The 22,777-nt window shown below is 45.8% G+C and overlaps 1 protein-coding gene across 4 annotated transcripts in view, besides 1 other annotated feature; it reads right to left on the bottom strand.

The window, feature by feature from the left end:
- SYT13 (synaptotagmin 13) overlaps positions 1-22,777 on the bottom strand; it is a 46,040-nt gene that overhangs the window by 13,689 nt on the left and 9,574 nt on the right. Inside the window, exons 2-5 of one of the 4 annotated variants that reach the window (NM_001247987.2) lie at positions 15,417-15,518; positions 4,391-4,506; positions 1,676-1,901; positions 280-414 (exon numbers count right to left, since the gene is read on the bottom strand). In NM_001247987.2, the coding sequence (NP_001234916.1) occupies positions 280-391 (112 nt within the window). In that variant the 5' untranslated portion in view covers positions 392-414; positions 1,676-1,901; positions 4,391-4,506; positions 15,417-15,518. Of the gene's footprint in view, positions 1-279; positions 415-1,675; positions 1,902-4,390; positions 4,507-15,416; positions 15,519-20,897; positions 20,922-22,777 lie in introns of those variants that run through there. The other 3 variants (XM_047427339.1, XM_047427338.1, NM_020826.3) reach the window with 3 other exon arrangements.
- Positions 12,935-13,435: an enhancer, noted in NCBI's record as "H3K4me1 hESC enhancer chr11:45288476-45288976 (GRCh37/hg19 assembly coordinates)". NCBI's record gives its function as "activates a minimal SCP1, AML or CMV promoter by ChIP-STARR-seq in naive and primed H9 embryonic stem cells {active_cell/tissue: H9 hESC(naive and primed)}" and the evidence as "EXISTENCE:reporter gene assay evidence [ECO:0000049][PMID:30033119]".

A 22,777-nucleotide genomic window follows, 5' to 3' on the forward strand; every position in this document is an offset into this window, starting at 1 on the left:
ACAAGGAGAGGGGGGTTATGGAGCCACAGCTGGAAGGAGTCTGGTCCTTGAATCACCATTTGGAGAAAAAACGTTTGTCAACCAGGAATCCCCACTTTGGACTGTTGGGGTTGGGAGTGTGGGAAATCTTTGTGTCTAAGCTCCATGTGTTCCAGGGTCTGGTTGTTAGAGTCCTAATCCAGTGCTCTCTCCAGCTGCAGATGATCCCATCCTGCCTGCACAGCTTCTCCAGGGGAGATAGACACACAGAAGCCCACGAGAGTCAAATAAGAGCCATACCTTCCAGGCGAGTCACAAACAATTCTGCCTTCTGACAGTCATAGTCCAGGCAGTAGTGGAGTTTGGGGGCCTGGTTCCAACTGGCAGCCTTCTCTGGGTTCCAGGTCTCCATGACACAGACATCCTCCACCACACCTGTTAAGAAAGTCGAAATCGTCACTGCCACCCACACTGGGGTTCTGCTTTCCTGATTACACCTTTCTCATCTCTATCACCTATGCCAGGAACCCAAACCCAAGTCTTCCCAGCTGTGTGCAGAATCACAGTGGCCACACCAAGACAACAGGTGGGGTCAATGTCACAGCCCATTAGGCTGCATCTGTGTCCACTGGCTCCCTCATCAACCACACAAAACAAAACAGAGACTACACAACAATCTACTCTCCCTGCTTTATGTTTTGTCTTTCTAAAACGCCTACATATTCTTTGGGTCAGGGACGATCATGTCTCTTCTTCCCATATCTTCCCCAGTGCCCAGCAGCAGCATAGTACACCTAAAGGTGCTGCACTCTTGATGTGGATGCTGATGAAAAGGAGAGTAGAAATAATAACAATATGTTTCGACGGGGCATGGTGGCTCATGCCTGTAACCCCAGCACTTCGAGAGGCCAAGGCAAGAAGACCACTTGAGCCCAGGAATTTGAGACCAGCCTGGGCCACATAGTGAGATCTCATGTCTACAAAAAATAAGCAAAAATTATCTGGGCATGGTGGCATGCACCTGTAGTCCTAGGTACTCAGGAGGCCGAGGTGAGAGGATCACTGGAGCCTGGGAGATTGAGGCTGCAGTGGCCCACGATCATGCCACTGAACTCCAGCCTGGGAGACAGAGCAAGACCCCATCTCAAAAAAAATGTGCCTGGGACCTTATCTCAAAAAAACAACAAAAAACCCAATATGTTTTTTGTTACCTCCTTTGTGCCAGGCTCTGAATTAAGCATTCTATGTGTGTTATTTTATCTACACTTTACAACTCCCCTACCAGACAGATAATAGTCTAGTCTCATTTTATAGATGAAGAAACCGAGGTTCATGGAGTTACAGCATGACCCATGCCACACAATAAGTGTATGAAAGGGCAGCAAATTAAACCCTTGACTCTGAAGCCCATGGTTTTAACCATGGCTCTTTATCCTCTCTCATAGTTGCACACATATGACTAGAAAGGGACTCCATTTTCCAGTGGAAAGTTGGCGGTCTGGGGGAGAAGTGGTATGGCAACATGTTGTCAGGAAGAAAGGACCATAATTCTGAGGCCCAGTGCCCATCTGCTTGGCCAGCGTCAAATGCCGGGGCACTCGGCCTCCTCATCAGGCCACACACAGCATCTACAGAGACATTGACAAGCCCCACTGGAGTGCTGCCCATGGAAGTGCAGGGGGCAGGAGACCCCTACCATTCTGAGGGAGGATGAACAGCTCCTCTGTGACCTGCCTCTTGAGGCGACTGTCATTCGGGGGTTGGGGGCTGGCAGGTGCAGTGGGCTCCTCCGTAGACCTCAGTGAATAGTCTGCATAGTTGATGACCTCTGGAGCCGTCACAGCTGGCCTGGGTCCATAGATGTCTGGGAACTTGAGGAGGGCACGGGGCTGAACAGGTTCCGTGGACTTTTTAACATTGAACTGCAAACACAAATTACTCTGATTAGTCCACAAAGGAGCCCTCTTGTCTGTTTCCCCCCATGGAAGGGAGAAACGGTGAACTGACCTGTTGTAGGATGCAGAGGGAGAGTTGTGGTTTCATTCTGCTCTGAAGAGCACAACCTAGGAAGGTCTAACATCATCTCCAAACCCACTCAAATCCACAATCCACTGAGATGTGGGCCTTGTTCATCCATACCTCCTCCATCCATCGGCCCATCCATCCTATGGCTGCGCCCATGGATATTGCCTGGACCTGCTGCAGGTGGTCCCCACTCTGCTGCTCTCATCTGCTCCCCTTGCCTCTTCCTTCTCCCTTCTCCCTTCCTCCCTCCTCTTCTCCACCTAATGGCTCAGAAATGCCAGTGGCTCCCACCACACAAAATCCAGACTCCTTGCAGCTTGCCTAGCTTGATCCTGCTCATCTCTCTGATATCGCCCCCAATCCTTCCTTTGCTCATCTCCAGTCACTGAGCTCCCTGCTTCTCAAACAGCTTGGGCTCTTTCCTTGGTCCAGCTTCCAGCCCCTAACTTTTCCTCCCAAACTGTCCACCCCTACCTCCACCTGTTTTTGCATGGCTGGCTCCATCTCACACCTGAAGTCTGAACCAAGGAGTCCATCTCTAACCTTACAATCTAAATTAAATCCCTCCCCCAAGCCTGTCCCTCCCTATCACCACATCCCACTCTTTGCTTCACAGCATCAATCTCACCCTATATTGTTTTGGTCATAGGCTGGCCTGTTTGTATTAAGACTCTCCCACTAGCATGTGAGATCTATGAGCACAGGAATTATGTCTTGTCTTGCTCCTGCCTAGATTAGCCTGGTCCAAAGCCCACTGCCCCTATGGCTCTCGATGTTTGTCCTGCCTTCAAATCTTTCCCCAGCAGAGCAGTCCCCATCGGAAATATTTATCATCTTATTACACACAGCAACTAGTCACCCTAGGAGAGACATGTATGACTTGCAAAATCAATTTCCCTTTGCACCTCCACCCCCAGTAAGAGTGTCACTGGGCATCAAGTTGCTGTGTCCCTTGTGCCTAGCATGGTGTCAGCTCACAGGGAGCATGCAATCAATACCTGTGACTAGGGCTGCCATATTGAATGGTTTGTGCACTGCACAAAAATCTCTGGATGAGGACAGAGTAGAAGCCAAAATGTAGCCTGTGTACCACTTGCCCAATTGTGTGCTCTAGGCTAGGCCCTTTTCGCTTGGAACGAAAGGGAATCTTTCTTTTCAAAAAGACCCACCTGCTTGTCAACCCTTAAGTATATGGGGCTCCTCACACAGCATCTACAGAGACATTGACAGGGATCTTCTGTCTTTCCCTCCTATTTGAGAGACTCAAAGTTGTATGACAGGTAGCAATAGGAGCCTTCCTGGTCCTCAGGATTGAAGGCCAGGTCTAGAGCTTAAACTGCTGGCACTCTGGGTGGGCAGCCCATAAAAAAGCCCTCAGGTTAAGACAGGCGGATCTGAAGACTGAGGTCTATGACTGAGTCTCCCAAGAAACCTCCTGCCCTCCATGCTAGCCCTCCTGGCCCTCCCATCTCCATGGCTGAAGCGAGTAGTGGGTGCAGATGGCTGGCAGCAGGACTCAGGCTGCCCTACCCAGTGGCAGCAGTGATCCTGCACTGTGTAGGGGAGGGAGTGGACGTGGTCTGGCAGGAGAGGCAGTTAACAGTTTACACTATTTCAAAAAGTTGTGTTTCTAATTTTTGTACCCTCTTTATTTAATTATCCCAGGATGAATCCTGGACATTCTGCCCTGGTTGAGACTCTGTCCCCAACCATTCCTGAAGGAGACCGGACCTAGGTGACAGGGGCATTCCTTAATTAGTTTCATCCATTGGACAAACAGAGGGGATGTGGATAAGAAGCTGCAGCAGGGCCCAAAGGGGCAGGAAGCAGGGGCCGGACTCTCGGGGACCTCTTGGACAACCACTTCCTGCCCCTGCATTTCCAAGTGTTTTCTTCTGAACTTCCCTAAAAGGTAGAGCTTACCCCTCTTGTACAGATAAGGAAACTGAGGCTCGGAGAGATAAGAAACCCTCAGTTCTTCTCTCAGAAACACTGCACAGTAGATTATAAGGTAACCCAAGCGAGGACCTGATTCTAGCCTGATCACCACTGAATGTGCCTGGCACGCATAGGCTCTAAAAGCATTTCTGACTTCGGTGGAGTGAAGTCACTTGGAATCATGCAGCTGGTGAGGGCAGCAGCAGAGTAAGCCTAGATCAGCCTGGCCCAAAGCCCACTGCCCCCATGGCTTTCGACATTTTTCCTGCCTCCAAATCTTTCCCCAGCACAGCAGTCCCCATCAAAAACATTTATCATTATCTTGTTACACACAGCAACCAGTCACCCTGGGAGGGACATGTATGATTTACAAAATCAGGTCCCCTTTGCACCTCCACCCCCACTGAGAGTGTCACTGGCATCAAGGAGGCTGGCTTCCAGTACCAACCCTGCCGCTGGAGCTGGGTCACTTTGGGCAGGTCATTTCACCTCTCTGGGCCGTCACCTTAAGTGACAAGTGATTTGCAGGCTATCCCACTCCACATTCTGAGTTGCTTTTTTAGGCTGCAAAGAGATGAGAGACACCATTGCTTTATTTTCAGGTATAGGTGAGTTAGGGATGATCACAAACAGGTGAAATAAATAAGTATATTTGGCCACTCTGGACCACAATACAGAAGCAGACGGGAGGCAGTATGTGTAAATAACACATGATGGCCAGTGCACAGTACATGCAGGGCACAATCAGGGGTGCCTGGGAGGCCGAGCTGGCCTTCAGGGAGGAGCCAGGGCATGACTGAGACCTTGAAAGAGAGGGGGATTTGGAAGGCAGAGGCGAAGACCGGGCTTGGGGGAGTAAAAGTCTGTGCTTCTGACAGCAGATGCTCAGGGTCCTTGGAGGAGACACACAGAGCGATGACTAATGTCCCCGTCTTTCTACCCTACACAAAGTCACCTCCACCTTCAATATCTCATATAACTCTGTATTACCTTCATCCTACTGTTTCACAATGAGGAAACTGAGGCTCAGGGAAGCTCACGATCATACAACTGACAAGTGGTATGTATCATCCAGCCTCCAGATGTTTTCACTTCAAATTTCTTGTCATTTCCATTGCCCTGCAGCTGCTTCTCAACACCACCCCCTTGCCCCCTGCAAAATCCCTGTCGGTCTTGCCACTGGATTCTAAATGGCAATCACAGCATCTCAGGGGCCCACCCACTGCCACTCCCTCCCATTCATCGGCACAAAAGCGTTCCCAGAGGCTGCTGGGCCTCAGCACACACCTGACTTAAAGTCACCCTCTACTGTCACTTGGTTGGGACCAGAACTAAGACTGTTTGGGTGGTCTGGGAAACATTTTTGTGTTTATATTTGGTTTCATCCCAATTCAATCGTCTGAGAAAAGGGCTGGGCTTCATTCCCAGTTTGATGCAATTTGGATGAATTTGCATTTTCAAGGGGGAAATAATCACTGGGCTCAGCTCTGAATGAAGTTCACTCTGTGTTGCCTCAAGTCTTGACACTCTGGCTCTGCCTTCCTCCCTCCTCAGTGGATCTCAATTTGTATGTCCCTGATAACCTCAGGAGCTTGTTACCAGAGCTTAAAATGCACCCCTAGAGCAAAAGATTGGGCATTTCTTGGTTGTCTACCAATATCCATTCCCTCTCCCATCTACCCGCCCTACACAACACCAGGTTGTCTAGGTTCCATCCCATCCCCAGCTCCCAGGAAGAGGTCAGATCCTTCCATTTCTTGGCATTATCTTGGTGACTGATTCCCAGGGGTTGGCACCAGTCCTGGGGAAACCAACCCAGATGGAAGGGAGGGACTTGGATTCCACAGTAGTAGAAGTCCCCTCCTCCCTGGACAGGAAGCGGGTGGCCCTGCCTTGTGACTGCAAGGTGAGTCAGCCTTGGGGCAGCAGAGTGGAGAGACAGAAAGAACCTGTGTCCTTGATGGCAATGTCATTAAGCTGCTCAGCCAACCAATCCAGCAATCTGTCTTGCTTCTGCATTTCAAGTTACGTGAGTAGTACTGTTCTTATTGTTTAAGCCAGTTTGAATTGGGATTTTTGTGCCTTGCAGCCAAGAGCATCCCAAACTGATGCATTGCCTTTTTCAAGCATCACAGGAGATCATGACCCTGGTGTAGAGAAACTGGGCCTAGGGTAGAAAGAAACCCTCTTGAATCTCTGCATCCAGCCCAAGGCATCCTCATTTGCTGTTTATTCTTATCCCACTTTATCCTGTGTGGCAAATGGCTGGCTTTAGCTGGGAATGACTTACAGCCTTTGCCCAGGCCAAGAGCAGAGTCTGATGACAGCTACATGAGTCTTTTCAAGGAGCAAAAGCAGCAGCTGATTACCTATCTCCTTCTCTTGTGCAATCTTATTTATTGCATTTCAAACCTGGTTCCATCACATCTTTCAAATGCATCTATATTTGCACTTAAATAGCTGAAACTTCAGTGCCAGAGAAACAGAAAATAGGTTCAGGGGTTGAGAGAGGGAGCCTGGGAGAGGGTTCTAGGTGAAGAACAAGAATGTCTGGGGGAAGGAGGTGCTCAGGGTAGCAGGGCCCTAGAGAGAGACCTTGCTCCAGCCTTCCACCATGGGTGCAGGAGGGACAGGACTTAGAATCAGATATTCTCTGTCTACGTGTCCCTTGAAGCCCAGGAATAGAGCCTGGGAAGTATATCTGCAGGATGAATGAGGGAAGATTTCCAGTGGAGACAGGCATTCAACAATTAGAGGATGGGTGCACAGCTGTTCTTGGCATTGCATGCACATCTGGATAGAAGAATCACACCCTCAGATGTGCATCAGACCCCTCAAATGCCTCCTTAGATTCTCCGCCTCACCTGTCCCTGGGACCTTTGGCTGCTTGCTCCCCCCACTGTGTCCAACCAGCTGTCCATGGGCACAGCAACACAGGTCCTCACACTGGGCTCAAGCCATGCCCCTCTTGCCTTCTGCCCTGGGACTTCTCCATGCCTGCTGAGTTATGAGACACCAGGGACACTCTGTCCACTCAGAAGCAACCCAGATGTGCAGAGAGTTAAAGCTCCATAGGGGAACTCAGCAACAAAAACCCAAACAACCTGATTCAAAATGAGCAAAGGATTTAAATAGACACTTCTCCAAAGAAGATATGCAAATGGCCAATAAGCACATGAAAAGATGCTCATCATCACTAATCACCAGAGAAATGCCATTAAAACTACAGTGAGATACCACCTCACACCCATTAGGATGGCTACTATCAACAAAACAGAAAATAACAAACATTGGTGAGGATGTGAAGAAATCGGAATTCTGTGCACTGCTGGTGGGAATGTAAAATGTATCACTGCTGTGGAAAACAGTATAGTATTTTCTTAAAAAATGAAAAATAGCCTGTAATCCCAGCACTTTGGGAAGCTGAGGCGGGTAGATCACTAGGTCAGGAGATCGAGACCATCCTGGCTAACACGGTGAAACCCCGTCTCTACTAAAAACACACACACACAAAAATTAGCTGGACATGGTGGCAGGCGCCTGTAATCCCAGCTACTTGGGAGGCTAAGGCAGAAGAATGGCGTGAACCCAGAAGGCGGAGGTTGCAGTGAGCTGAGATCGCGCCACTGCACTCCAGCCTGGGTGTAGAGCGAGACTCCGTCTAAAAAAAAAAAGAAAAGAAAACAAAAGGAAAGAAAAATAGCCAGCCACGGTGACTCATGCCTATAATCCCAGCACTTTGGGAGGCCAAATCAGGTGACTTACTTGAGGTCAGGAGTTCCAGACCAGCCTGGCCAACATGGCAAAACCCCATCTCTACCAAAAATACAAAAATCAGCCCGGGCTTTGTGGTGCACACCTGTATCACAGCTACTTGGGAGGCTGAGGCAGGAGAATCGCTTGAACCCGGGAGGCGAAGGTTGCAGTGAGCCAAGATCATGCCACTGCACTCCAGCCTAGGTGACAGAGCAAGACCTTGTCTCAAAAAAAAAAAAAAAGAATAAAATTGCTGTATGATCCAGCAATTCCACTTCTGGGTATACACTCAAAATATTCGAAAGCAGGGTCTTTGAAGATATTTACACCCATGTTCATTGCAGCATTATTCACAATCACTAAAAGGTGAAGCAATCCAAATATCTATGAACAGATGAATAAATAAACAAAATGTGGTATATCTATATAACGGAGTATTATTCTGCCATAGAAAGAAGGAATGTTCTGACACAGGCTACAACATGGATGATCCTTGAGGACATGATGCCAAGTGAAATCAACCAGTCACAAAAAGACACATATTGTATGATTCCACTCAAATGAAATACTTAGAGTCCTCAAAATCATAGAGACAGAAAGTAGAATGGTGGATGCCAGAGGCTGGGGCAGGGGAAAATGGGAAGTTATTATTCAATGGGTATAGATTTTTAGTTTTACAGCACAAAAAGTGTTATGGAGATGGATGGTGGTGATGTTTGTACAACATCCTGAATGAATTAATACCACTGAACTGAGGCTGGGCGCGGTGGCTCATGCCTGTACTCTCAGTACTTTGGGAGGCTGAAGCAGAAGGATGGCTTGAGCCCAGGAGATAGAGACAAGCATGGACAACATAGTGAGACCCCATTTCTACAAAAAATACAAAAATTATTTGGGTATGGTAGTGCACGCCTGTAGTCCCAGCTACTCAGGCGGCCGAGGTGGGAGGATCACTTGAACCCGGGAGGTGAAGGCTGTAGTGAGCCGAGATTGCACTGTTGCCCTCCAGCCTGGGCAAAGAGGGAGATCCTATCACACACACACACACACACACACACACACACACACACACACACACACAAATTGAACTGTACACTTAAAAATGGTGAAGATGGTAAATTTTATGTTATGTTCTTTTACCATAATAAAAAAAAAGAGAGAAAAAACCCCAAACATCTCCATGGGAGGAACTCGAGCCCTGTGAGCAGGAAGACAGGCAATGAATTCTCCTTCCTCCTCCTCACTATTCCCAGAAGTGCCTTCAGTCGCCTTTTGGAAGATGACCCCTGGAAATCCAGCAGTCACCCTGGATGCCAAGTGGCAGTGACTCAGTAATGCCCCTGTGCTTGTCCTCTCTCCTCCCAGGCCCTGCCCACCATTCCCTGGCTCCTGCTTCCTCATGAAGGGTAGCACAGACGCCTCCGGCTCTGCCTCCAGTAATAATCCAGGCAGAGACAGATGGCACGGGGGGTGGAACCTGAACCTTCATTAATGAACAAATATTTACTGAGCCCCACTACAGGCCAGGTCCTATGCTAAGTGTTCAGAATATGGGAGTAAACAGGACAGATGCTGTCCTTCCCTTATGGGGCTTATGTTGGAAAACCAAAACTTAATTATGTAGTTAATGATCTGTAAACAAACGTTTAACCTTACCAAAGATGCTAGGTGACCCCTTTTGTGACATGATTAATTTTTCACCTTAGGGCTGTTTATTAATTTGGGGTTTCATGCTGGGACATCCCTCTTACAGTAGCACTGCACCACCCAGGAGGTTGCAGGTGGGGGAAGCAGATCCAGCTGAAAAAGAGGTCATCTTTGCTCCTTAAACTTGAACTTTAAAAAAGGGGAGGGCAGAGAAGAAGCATCCAGTTGAGCATCCAGTATTCAGATGATGCCAACCATGGGCCACTGCTGCTGCTGGGGTCTATAGTATAGCTAAGCCCCCGCCAAGGGGGTAGTGAGGCCAGGGCAAAGGGACCTGCAAGAGTCTGTCGCTCTGGCCTCTAATACTGGCGATTATGCACACTAACGTGTATATAATGAAATATATCCTGCTGGTCAGGTATTCAGGCTCTAAAACAAGACAGCTTAGTTGGAGTCTGGGCTCTGTCAATTACTTGCTGTGTGACCTTGGGTCTGATTAATTAACTTCTCTGTGCCCAGTTTCTTCATCTGTAAAATGGGGATGCTAACAATAGCATCTATCTCCTGGGGTTGGATTGAGGCTTAGATAAGATAACTCACGCAGAGCTCTTAGGACAGAGGCTAGCCCAGCCAACCCTCGACAAATGTCGGCAATATTTATGTGACCCTAGGGTCTAGTCAGGTGCTACAAAAAGTGGGGTTTGTGTGTAGGGACCAGTTGATGAACTACTTTTTGTTGTTGTTACTTTTTTACTCATTTGTGATAAATATAGACATTGAGTGTGAGCATTACAACAAAACTAAACTAAGCTAAACTGGATCCTCTCTCACAGATGGTTGGGGAAGCTCTGGTCTAGATCAAGCATTCTCACATCAGAGCCACCATGGTAGGTGCCTCTATGATGAGACCTCTCAGTGTCCCGTCCCTTGGTGTCCACGCCCTTGTATAATCCCCTGTCCTTGAGTATGGGCTGGACCTAGTGACTTGCTTCGAATGAACAGATTATGCAAATGTGAGAAGACAATGCTTCTAAGATTAGATTACCAAAAAAATGACATTCCATTTTCCTTGCTCTCTCTCACCCACTCCCTCTGATAAAACACACTGCAATGTTGAAAGCTTTCCTATAGAGAGCCCCATGTGCAAAGACCCGAGGGCACCGCAGGAAGAACTGAATCCTGCCAACAACCACAAGAGCAAGCTTGGAGGTAGAGGTTGCCCCAGTCAAACCCTGAGATGAGCACAGCCCCAGAGGACACCTTGACCACAGCCTGGCAGAGATTCTGAGCCAAAGGACCTAGGTAAGCCATGACTGGATTTCTGACCCCACAGAAACTGAGATAATAAGCATTGTTGTTTTAAGCCATTGTGTTTTGGGGTAGTTTGTTACACAGCAATAGATAACTAATACAGCTGTTTGTGAGAATTACCCAGGAAGATGTTAAAAAAAATGTAGACACCACTACACACCCACTAAAATGGCTAAAATCAAAAAGACTGACAACACTAGTGTGGACAAGGATGTGAGACATTTGGGATGGTCACTAGTGCCGGTGGAAGGGAAAATGGCAAGCCACGTTGGAAAACTGGAAGTTTCTTAAAAGTTAAACATAAATCTACCCTATGACTCAACAGTTTTTATCCACTCCCACGTATTTATCCAAGAGAAAGGAAAACATGAATCTGCAAGAAGACTTAGACATGGCTACTGAGAGCAACGTGACTCATCCTAGCCAAACGCTGAAAGCAGCCCAGCCTTCCACCAACAGGACAATGGAGAAGTCCATTGGGGCATATTCTTACAATGGAATATTCCTCGACCAACAAAAGGAATGAGTTTCAGGTACACTCAACAATAGAGAAGAATTACCAAAACATGCTGAGGAAAAGAAGACAGCTGTCTACGCATACATACTGCATGATTCCACTGACAGTGCTGGATCTCAGCCAGGGACAATTTGGCCGCTCAGGCGACATTTGCAGTGTCTGGAGACATTTTTGGTTGCCACAACTGGAGGCAGTGGAGCTGCTATTGACCACAGTCACCATGGGGGTTGGGAGCTGTTCCTGGAGGCCAGGAATGCTGCTAAGCATGCCACAACATCAACCCCTATCTCAGTTTGGATAGCTATAAAACTTACCGTAAACTGGGTAGCTTCGACAACAAATGTTCATTTCTCACAGTTCTAGAGGCTGGAAGTCCAAGATCAATGAGCTGGTGAATCTGGTATCTGGGGAAAGCCCACTTCCCGGTTTGCAGAGAGCCATTTTGTTGCATCCTCACATGGTTGAGAGCAGACAGCATCTCTCTCACATGTCTTCTTCAAGGGCACTAATCCCATCATGAGGGCTTTACCCTCATGACCTGATCACCCCTCAAAGGGCCCACTTCCTAATATCATAGCCTTTGGGGTGAGAATTCCAACATATGAATTCGAGGGCACACATTCGTTCCCTAATTCCCCCACAACAAAGAATTATCAACCCAAAATGTCATTAGGGCTGAAGTTGGGAAACCCTGATTTAGATGAAGTTCTATGACAGGTGGAACTCATCAGTGGTAATAGACATCAGAACAGTGACTGCTTTTGGGGAGAATGGACTGGGAAGAGGCATGTGAGGGGTATGGGTTACAGCCTGAGGGATACATATTTGTCAAAATTCATTAAGCTGTAAACTTAGGATGTGTATATTTCACTGTATGCAAATTACATCACAATAAAAATAGAGAGAGAGATAGATACTTGTACACACATGCACCTCTGAGTAACATGCTGAATTGGGCTTTCTGGGGTGGTTGAAGAATCTGTATGCTCAGCAAGTTTGCTGAGTGATTCCTGCACACAATCAGCCCAGAACTTGGCTGTGGACCTACATTTAGGATCCACTGGTCTCTAAACCAGTATTTCTCAAACTTTCTTTCCAAATAGCCTCAGAGGCAGAAGCTGACACGTACTCTAGGGAAGAGGAAGCAGTCAGGAGCAATTGGGGATCTTTCTCCAAATCTCCAATTCTATCTTACAAATTCATATGAGTCTTTGTATTTGATTCCATATGATTGTTTTAGTATTAAAATGTTTTAAATTACTACCAGCAAGGAAAAGTTTCTTTTGTTTATTTTATGACTTCTAGGTCTGGTACCATAATCCTTCCACTCCCTCTCAAATACACACACACACACACACACACACACACACATACACACATCCTAATGTCTGGACAACAGGCATTAAGTCCATTACATCAAGCTGTAAGAAACTGAGAGAGATCCTCATTTTGCTCATTTTGCCTCCAGAGAAGGACCAACTCCTAGAGGCTGAGTGGGAACAGCCTCGCTATCCTTTGAAGATAGCTTAGAAGTTTATCAAAATTTCACTTCCAACTGCAGAGAAAATTTTCCTGGAGAAAATGTGGGGCACAGCTCTTAACCAGTCCAAAGGTTTGATCTGTGCCCATTCCTTCTGTAGAGGAAGGCACACCCAACCAATTGTGTCCTAGCAGATACTGACAACTAACTGAACCTTCATGGCTAGCCAGTCACTTATTAACAGACTTGTATTCATCAAGGAAGGCCAACTGCTAAACCTCAAGGCTGAACACAATAAAAGTTGATTTCTCACAGTCTGAAAAGGGCCGTTTATTTTCAAACTTAGGGTCCCAGCCTCTTCCACCTTGTGGCCTTGTTTACCTGTGCCCTGCACTGTTCAAACATAAACTTCTTAAATCCTCATAATAACCTTATAGGAAGTACAAATATTGTCAACTTCATTTTACAGACGAGGACACTGAGTCCGTAGAGTTCAGTTCTGTGCCAAAAGTCTTGGCCCGCTAGGGGGCGGTAGAGGGTGCATTCAGACCCAGGCTGACTCGCCCCAGAATCCCCTGCGGAACCACCAGGCCCTGCTGCCTTCCCGCCACTTCAGCCACCGCCTCCCATTTCTAGTGAGCCTTGACCATTCCTCCACGTTTCTGTGCCCCTAAGGCGGATGCCCAGGACGCTGCCTGGTCCCACCACCCACTATGCTGCCCCTTCATGCCCATCAGTCAGGGAAACGGGACTGTCAGCGCCAATTCCCACACTTTGACGTGCATCAGCTTCATTTGGGGAGTGCACAGTTCAGATTCCCAGGCCCCCCAGAGGTTTGACTTGGTGGGTTCTAGGTGGAGCCTAAGGACGCCTTGCTTGGGAACACCCTGATTTGGGGGAGCCCCAAACATCCAGGTAGGGTAGAGGTAGACACCCCCTCTCTCATGTTAAGCTGCTCACAGGCACGGCCTCCTGTCTCAGAGTCCGCTCAGCTCCCCCCGGCAACACTGATTTGCCTGCTAGGCCTCCATCTCCTAGGAAGCTGCCAGCACCAGGGTCCTCTACGTCTTGCCTGCTTGAAGAATTGTGAAGCCATGTGCCCTTAGGCAAATCCACAGTTATTTCTGGGAGTGGGAGAGAGGTGACACAGTTCACTCTGCAAAGGGGAAATCCACCTTGAAGAGGAGGCTTGGCTTCCAGTCCAGGCGGCGCAGTGTTTCCATGGCGACATTACCCTTGTACCATCTTTTGTTATCCCTTCCAACACCTCCTCTCCTGTTTGTTCCGAGTCTGTGCCCCCAATCCTTTCTCAAATCCGCCTCCCTCGTAGCTCACCTCCTCCTATTCTCCTTTTCCCTTGTGATTATTTTGAAATCTAAAAAAGCCCATTTGTGGTTGGCCCAGGGCACTCACTGCCTCCAGCCGGTACTTGATGTGACCGACTTGGAGATTTGTTGGTGGGTAAGCCCTGCTGGCAGCTGCCCCTCCCAACCCGGCCAGGATGAGACACAACAGGAATACCAGCCAGCCCTAACGCAAACGTTTTATCTGCTGTTTGTCATTCAACAATGATTAAACCTCTCAACAATGGCCAACTGCCCGAACAACACTGTCTGATCACTGTCCTTATGGAGTGGACATTTCCAGTGGGGTAGACAGCAAGAAGCCAGGGGACCCAAAAAGCTATTTCCCTTAGGAATAAGTGCTGTCGAGACCGGGACAGATGGTAATGAGGTCGGTTGAGTGGTGGGGGGTGGGGGTGGGGCGCAGGAGTTGTTTCTACTAAGAATTTGAGGGTCAGGGAAAAGTCCCTGAGCTAAAATTTGAAGAAAAAGAAAACCCATCATATGCAGCTTTACCATGTATCAGATACAAGTCTGAGCATTTTACCCATTCGGTTTCATTTAAACTTCACAGCCTCATGAGGAGGCATTACTGTCATCCCCACTTAGAGGAAGAAACTGAGGCACAGAAGGGTTAAGTCTGAAGTCACATGGTTAATAAGATGCAGAACTGGGAATTGAACCCAGGCACATGACTGTGGAGCCCACAGGCTTTCCAGCTTGGCCCCATCCTTCCCTTCCTGGGAAGACACAATGGTCTGTTGTCATTCCCAGGTCTTGAGTAGATATAAGGAGAAGCCAGTGGGGCTGGAGGAAGGATGTCCCATCTCTACCCTCCTAGCCTAGCCATTCACTCATTCACTCCATCAATCATCATTCAACATTAAGAGCCTTTTATGGGATAAAAGGCATGGCCAACACTGATTGCTACCCCGACGCACAGTCTGTATGTGTGCTGGTTGCAGGGAGTGGGGAGGAGGGGGATTATTAGAGTAATAACTATGATGGAGAACAGTAAAACACCAGGCAGAGTCTGTAGAAGCAAACCAAGCTTTACCTGGAGAAGGGGAGGGTGGTAGGAGAAGGAAGGGAAGAAGGGAGAGCTGCAGGAGGTTTCATAGAGACGCTGACTTTGGGTTGGGCACCCTGAAGTCTGACAGGTAGAGAAATTGGAGAGGGGCATTCCGCCAAGATGGCAGAAGGAAAGTTTGCACTGTGTCCAGAGTACAGTCAGTCCGCAGGTGCAATACAGCTAAAACCCAATGAGAGGAGGAGGGTGAATGTTGCTGCAATCCCAACATTTCTGGCGGAAACTAAATTTTAAAACAATTATTAAAAAAACAAACAAAAAAACAAAACAAACAAACAAACAAACAAAAAACTCCGTGGGACTGGAAACCCCAAGATGGCAAGATCCTACCTAGAGATTTCCTTCTTGTAGGTGGCCCCTGCATTATTTCAGCAGTCACATCACAAAGCCCTTTGGCCACCACCTCTGTAAACTTCATATGTAACAGATGCTCTGCAATGCACAACACAAACTTTATTGTATTTAATCTTCACGCAACTATAGATAAGTGCCTAATATTTTCTCTATTCTATATACCCTAATATTAACAAATAAAAAATAACCTAATTATTTTTACTACAGAGGAGGAAACTGAGGCTCAGAGAGATTGAAACATATCCAAGCTCACATAGCTAATATATGAAAACATTGGGCTTTGAACCTTTGTCCACCCCAAAGCTAGTGCTACTAACCTGTATACTATACTGTCTGTGGTTTCTTGGGGTTGTGTCTCTGGATAACAACTACACAGTTGAAAATGGAAAAGTTTGAATCATTGTTTTTGCTTTTCTGGCAGGTGTCACATCATTAGATGTCAAAACATTCTTTGTGTGGGAAATGTGTTTCATTTGTGCCCTGAACAAAGGCAATGTCAAGACCATGTTGTAATCTCATCAACACTCATAAACTGATGTATTTTAAAAGGTCAGTAATCTGGACTTGAACACAGCCTTTTCACTCCAGCCACCCTACCCTTATTTTCCCATCTCCAGTGGCCACAACAAGGCTGTCAGCAATGTGTTTCACCTCAGAGCATGGTCTCTGTGACTCCCAAAATTTGAGTTTGCTTTCCAAAATTTCCACTTCTGCCCCCTCTCCTGTCCCACTGTACTGGTTTACTAGGGGCTCACATTTTTCCTGTTAAACTGAGTCTGTGTATAGAAGCATCTCAGCTCTGCATAATTGAAAACTTCTGTCAGATAGGAACACAATTGTTTAATATTGGTTCATTTGAATCCTTTAGACTTTTTTTTCTTAGTTTCTAATTTGTGTTTCTAATTTAATGTTCTTTTCCCAAGACAGTCACTTTTGTATTAAAGGCTGAAAAGTTTGTTTTTATGTCAGTTTCCTTGGCATTGAAATTAGGGTGTTCTTTCAGAGAAGCTATAGGATTACATGATTCTATGGTGTTCAGGCAATTGATGAAACCATTAACTAGGCCAACTGCTATAACCATTATTGTGCCAATATATTATAAATAATAAAGTACAAAAATTTGAGTTTGTACCCATTTAAAAATTGATTAACATATATTCAAGGTTATCCTTATAATAAGACCTCTTTCACACTTTTGCATTTTGATAAGCTTTTCTTCATGGAAGAGAAAGGAGGTAAATCTACAAAACCATCAAACCCATGTGACTATCACCCATTAGAGGTGATGCAGTGTAGAAAAAAAGTGCAGGGAACCACTAATCTAAGACATCCATCCACTTATATGCAGCACTTGAAAAGCACATCAATCTCTAACCTGGAAGTTGAAAAAACAGCCGAGATATAAAGTGCAATTTCAAAACCAAGACAGAGGCTGTTTTAACTAGATTCTCCTTATATATTGGTTTTAAGTCAAACCGCTCCACATTATATTGCTGTCAAACAGAAATCAGAACATACTTGTTGCCTGCCAATCACCTGTTCACCCACCCTACATACCATGGGAGACACAGGAGTAAGTCCCCACCCTCAGAGAGTTTACCATCCCATGGTAGAGATGAGATATTCCATAAAGGGGAGATACTAGGTGCTTATGCTACAATTCTCCTACCCTGTGCTCAAGGCAGATTCAGCTAATTGATCGAAGCATTCTTTCCTGCTGAGCTCAGACACAGGGTGTTTGTTCAGCTTAGGGCTCCAGGAAGCTACTATCCATTAATAGGAATTGATATGGAAGATGAAAGACATTTGCTATTTCTGATTCAAACTTATGAAAAGATAGATAAAAATAGAAGACAGTCTTAAAAAGCCAAATACCTGGACTGTAGGCTACATAAGACCTAAGGAGGAACTCTTCATTGTTGATGTGATCAGAGAAGGCTTCCTGGACGAGGGGCTTCAATGCAGCATTCAAGGATGATTAACAATGAGAGAGAGAGAGAGGCATCTCAAATTGGGAGGACAGCAGCAGTGTGCATCCAGAGGGGAGCATGCTTAGGACATGGTGAGTCAGCTGGAGAGGAAGGCTGGGGTTGGAGAAATGGAGTTGGAAAGGAATGGTGAGGCTAGGTCATAAAGGGCCTTGAATGCCAAGCAAAAAAATCTTGAATTCTATCTTATAAACAATGGAGAAACGTTGACAGTTTGTGAGTAGGAGAATGACATGAGCAAAACAGTGTTTTCAGTAAATGAAACCAGCAGGTTCATACAGGAGGGATGGACGGATGTGGAGGAAACTAGGTGAGAAAACCAACCTGGAGACACAGAGACACAGTGAGGGTAACCCAGGTTGGGGGAACCATGTGCTGGGGAAAGGGAGGAATCCAAGAGTGAGAGCTGCCTCAAGAAAAATACACTTCAACTATAACTTCTCAGGCTTCCCTTTCCAAAAAAGACACCTGCACATGTATGTTTATTGCAGCACTGTTCACAATAGCAAAGACTTGGAATCAACCCAAGTGCCCATGAATGGTAGACTGAATAAAGAATATGTGGCACATATACAGCATGGAATACTATGCAGCCATAAAAAAGGAATGAGATCATGTCCTTTGCAGGGACGTGGATGAAGCTGGGAACCATCATTCTCAGCAAACTAACACAAGAACAGAAAACCAAGCACTGCATGTTCTCACCCATAAGTGGAAGTTGAACAATGAGAACACATGGACACAGGGAGGGGAACATCACACACCAGGGTCTGTCAGGGGTGGGGTGGTTGGGGAGGGATAGCATTAGGAGAAATATCTAATATAGGTGATGAGTTGATGGGTGCAGCAAACCACTGTGGCATGTGTATACCTATGTAACAAACCTGCATGTCCTGCGCATGTATCCCAGAAATTAAAGTATAACAAGAAAGAAAGAAAGAAAGAAAAAAGCAGAACCCCTGTGTGTCACTGGATGTCTGCAGTCTCTGCCATGTTTGGGCGACAAAGTGATTCTTCTGTGTGAATTTCATGACTAGTCAGGAAGCAGATTTCAAGGGATGGCCATTAAGGTGCTGCTTCTAACATTCTTCCACCAGCTGACATTTTGGCAGATTCAAAGCCAGTCAGTATCATCCATAGATCTAGCTGTTCCTTCTTTTAAATGAGATGCAAACCTAATAGATTTCCTTCTGTGTTACATGGGCTGACAATCAAACAGTCTACAAAATGTCCCAAAATATGATTTGATCATGGAAGGTCAGTGATATCAGAGTACCTGGCTCCAAATTACTATAAATGAGAACTATTTTTCCTCAGCTCACTCCAGGCTTTTTGAAATGAGAATAACAGCCCCAGAGCTTCCTACCTGCAGGTGTGTCTGTTTGGCAAGCAGATATTAAAGGCTTCAAGACGCACAAAGCATCAGGCTAGATGCTGAATCAAATGGGAAAACGAAAGTGGCTTCTGAACAATAGAACCTTGTGCAAATAGAGGGTGTTATCACTGTTGGTCCTGAGTTTTGCCAATTTCATTGGCACACTTCCTCTGACTCACAGACTCTTCCTTTATTATTATTAATCATTAGGGTTGGTAATAATAGCTAACATGGTTTGAGTATGCTATCAATAAGGGTTTTTGCAGGAAGAGATGGCACATTATAACTGGGTAATTGAGGAGAGTTTCATAAAGCAGGTATTTACAAATGTATGGAGGGTTAAGGAAAGCAACAAGGAATGGCGAGTATGTAGGGACTGGGAGAGCTGGGCACTCTTACCATCCCTAGGCCTGAAGGGGCAAGAAGCAGGAGAGGTCACTGGAAACAGGACAGGGTGCCGAAGGGAGACAGTGGCCTGACAGGATCTGAGCCTTTCAGCTGAGGATGTAGCCAGCCCCCAGGCACCTAGCAGGGAGGGAGCAGGGGTGATGAAGGCCCCTCACACTCCTCTTGTCCTCAGATCTCCTTTGGGCCAACTCCACCTGATGCCAAAAGGCAGAGGAGTTGGTCAATGCAGCTGATAGGTGGGGGCCTTCTGGGGCCAGGGTGTGGAGGGGGAGAAAATGGGGATAGGCTTGGAGCAGGGGGTGGGGAAGAAGTAGGTTTGGGGTTGACGGGGGAGCATTTAGGGGGTTCTGGAGGCACAAGGAGATGACTTCTAGCACTTACTACATTCTGTGTATAACTGTGTGATGAACATCTCTCCCTCTAGAATATTAACGACATGAGGTCAGGGATGGGTTCTGCCTTGTCACTGCACTGTCCCGAGGACTAACTCAGTGCCTTGCACATAGCAGGTATGCAAGACATATTTATTGAATGAATAATCATCCTAGAAGTGGAATGTTCATGTTCCCCTTTTCATTCTAACAGACACGTTTCATTTATCACGTCTGGAATACTGTTAATGAATTTTTTCTTTCCCGCATGGTGAATAGACAAGTCATTGCTTTGGTAAAGGATAAATAAGAAAATAATTAACAGATTCTTAAAAATATCCTTTGATCAAAGGCAAGTGCTGAATCCGTTGGGTGCTTTCATACGTGTCATCTCATTCATTCTTCCATATAACCTTAGAGAACCTTGTAGAATCCCTGTTTCATGAATGAGCAAAGTGGGATTCAGAATGGCTGTGGTGATTTGGCTAGGAGATGGTGGAGTCTGAATTCAAATTCAGGTTTTTGAGTCTCATTTGATTCCCATTTTAGCTCAGCATCTTGATTATAAAAGTGAACATTTTCATTCTGAGTTAATTTTTTCTTTCGAGTAGTCTCAAAGATTGTTACCTAAAATTAACTCCAATGGGTACCCAAAAATCAAATGCAAGGCTACAATGTGGTGGGATTAGGCTAGGCACCTAACCTCACGTTCATTCCTTTCTGTTCTTTGTCTCTATGTGTTTTGTATGGAGGCTGTTTTGCAAAGGGTGATAGTCATGTTGCCACTTAAAGAATCTGCTCCATTTGTTAGTAAGTAAGAGACGAGATCATTAGATGATGCATTGCAAAGAATGTGCAAAGAAACCCTCCAAATCATGTGAATATTTTCTCCTCATGTCACATCACTGCCTTCACTGTATTCCTCTCTGATAGCTTCCCCTTTCCTCTATGTGAAGTGACTGTGCTGGAAATCAAAGTGTATTTTAAGATGCTCCGCGATATGCTCTGAGAAGCAGGGTGCAGGGGGCATTCAGAAATGCAGAATAAGCTTAAAGCTAACAGAAGATATTCTACACTTGCAGCTGTTTCAATCAACTCTTCCAGTTGCCTTACCAAACCGCTTTTACCCAACCTTATCTGCATCTTCAAACACCATCTTTTCCAAAACATCCTTCTTAATTCTATTTGAAAAGCAAAGTCTTTGCAATCCTGCCTCAATAAACCTACAGCCTTTACATCGTGCTGTTCTTACCAGAGAGTCCAACCTGTGTGGTTTATAATGCTCTTCCAAATAAAACATCTCCCTGGGTATTACCTCATTGGCCTTGCAGGTGAAGATTTAAAAAACTCTCTCTAACGTTAGCCAGATGAACAGAGACCTGAAAGGAGAGAAACCTGTAAAAAGTGAAGTTGCCACATGCTTCCTGCTGGTCTTGATTTCTTGATATATCACTAAAGGCAAGCATAGAGATCCTTCGGTGGACTCAGCACCCTCCCCTGCTTCTCTGTGCCTGTGGTTTTCATTTTGGCTACAAGCAGAGGTGGCAGCCCCACAGATCCCTACCTCCTCATTTGTCTACCCATCCATTCATCAATGTATTCAGTCATTCAACATGTCTCCTCACTTCTCTTTGCCATGTGCTAAGTCCTGCTCAACTTTCTGTGACAGAAAAAGCATGTCTTGGACTTAATGAGTGGAGGTGGGGATAGGGAGAGGAATCAATGAAATATGTCAAAATATTCTAGGGTCTATGCCAGATGGACTGACTCAATTTCGCAGAATTCTCACAGGACCCCTCTCTCCTTTACGCTTGTTTTCATTCATATTCATATATGCAACTCCCCCTCATTATTTGACTCTGATCTGTTCCTAAAAACATGGTGATTAGCAGATTTCAGAAAGCAGGCACTGGTACTCCATTATTTTAAGGGAAAAATTATAATGCATTCCAAGTCTACCCCAAAACCACAATCAACTTCCCCAAATATCATTGTAACATTCTTAAGCAGTGTGTAAAAATCTCCCAGGACTTTTCTATAACATAAGGCAATTACAGCACCCTTTATCTAATGAATTGGGACTTATTGAACTCCTCCTGAAGGTTCATTGTGTGGGCAGCAACTGGCCCTGGAGAGGGGCAAGGCTCCTCCAGGCATCACACTGGCCTGGTAAGGAAATATTGAAAGACCCTAAATACTGCCTCAATTAGATGGGGTTTGCAGGGCCTGGGTATTGGGGGGAATTTTAGTGGGACCCATGAGGGGCTAAAGCTTGGGGGAACAGAATGGGAAAGATGACAATAATAACATATTTGACAGACAGAGCAGCAGGTGCAAACTTGCTGGAAGAACAGGGCAGCCAGGACTACTGCACACACACTCCATTCCTCTCACGAGACTCATGAACAATGAAATGTTTTTACGGGTTGCCCATGTGGACTCATTTTAATAGTTGCTCAATACAGACAGCAAATGTTTGTTGAAAACTCGCCAGCTACTGTGGTTTTTGGATATATACCCAAAGGATTGTAAATCATTCTTCTATAAAGACACGTGTACATGTATGTTTATTGCAGCACTGTTCACAGTAGCAAAGACTTGGAACCAACCCAATGCTCAGCAATGATAGACTGAATAAAGAATATGTGGCACATATACACCATGGAATACTATGTAGCCATAAAAAAGGATGAGTTCATGTCCTTTGCAGGGATATGGATGAAGCTGGAAACTATCATTCTCAGCAAACTAACACAGGAACTGAAAACCAAACACCACATGTTCTCACTCATAAGTGAGAGTTGAACAATGAGAACACATGGACACAGAGAGAGGAACATTACACACCGGGACCTGTCAGTGGGTGGGGGACTAGGGGAGGGATAGCATTAGGAGAAATACCCAAGGTAGATGACAGGTTGATGAGTGCAGCAAACCATCATGGCACATGTATATCTATGTAACAAACCTGCACGTTCTGCACATGTATCCCAGAACTTATAATAAAAATTTTTTTAAAAAAACTTGCCAGCTACTGATGAATATTTTAAAAGTGAGAATTTGGGGTTTTTTTTTAGATATTAAAAGCTCAGAAAATACCGCAAAGAGATACTACTTTGCACCCAGTAGGATGACTTTTTAAAAAAAAAAAATAAATAAAATAAATAAAAATTAAAATACCAACTGCTAGCAAGG

Source organism: Homo sapiens, chromosome 11, assembly GCF_000001405.40.
Source record: "Homo sapiens chromosome 11, GRCh38.p14 Primary Assembly".
Taxonomy (NCBI): Eukaryota; Metazoa; Chordata; class Mammalia; order Primates; family Hominidae; genus Homo; species Homo sapiens.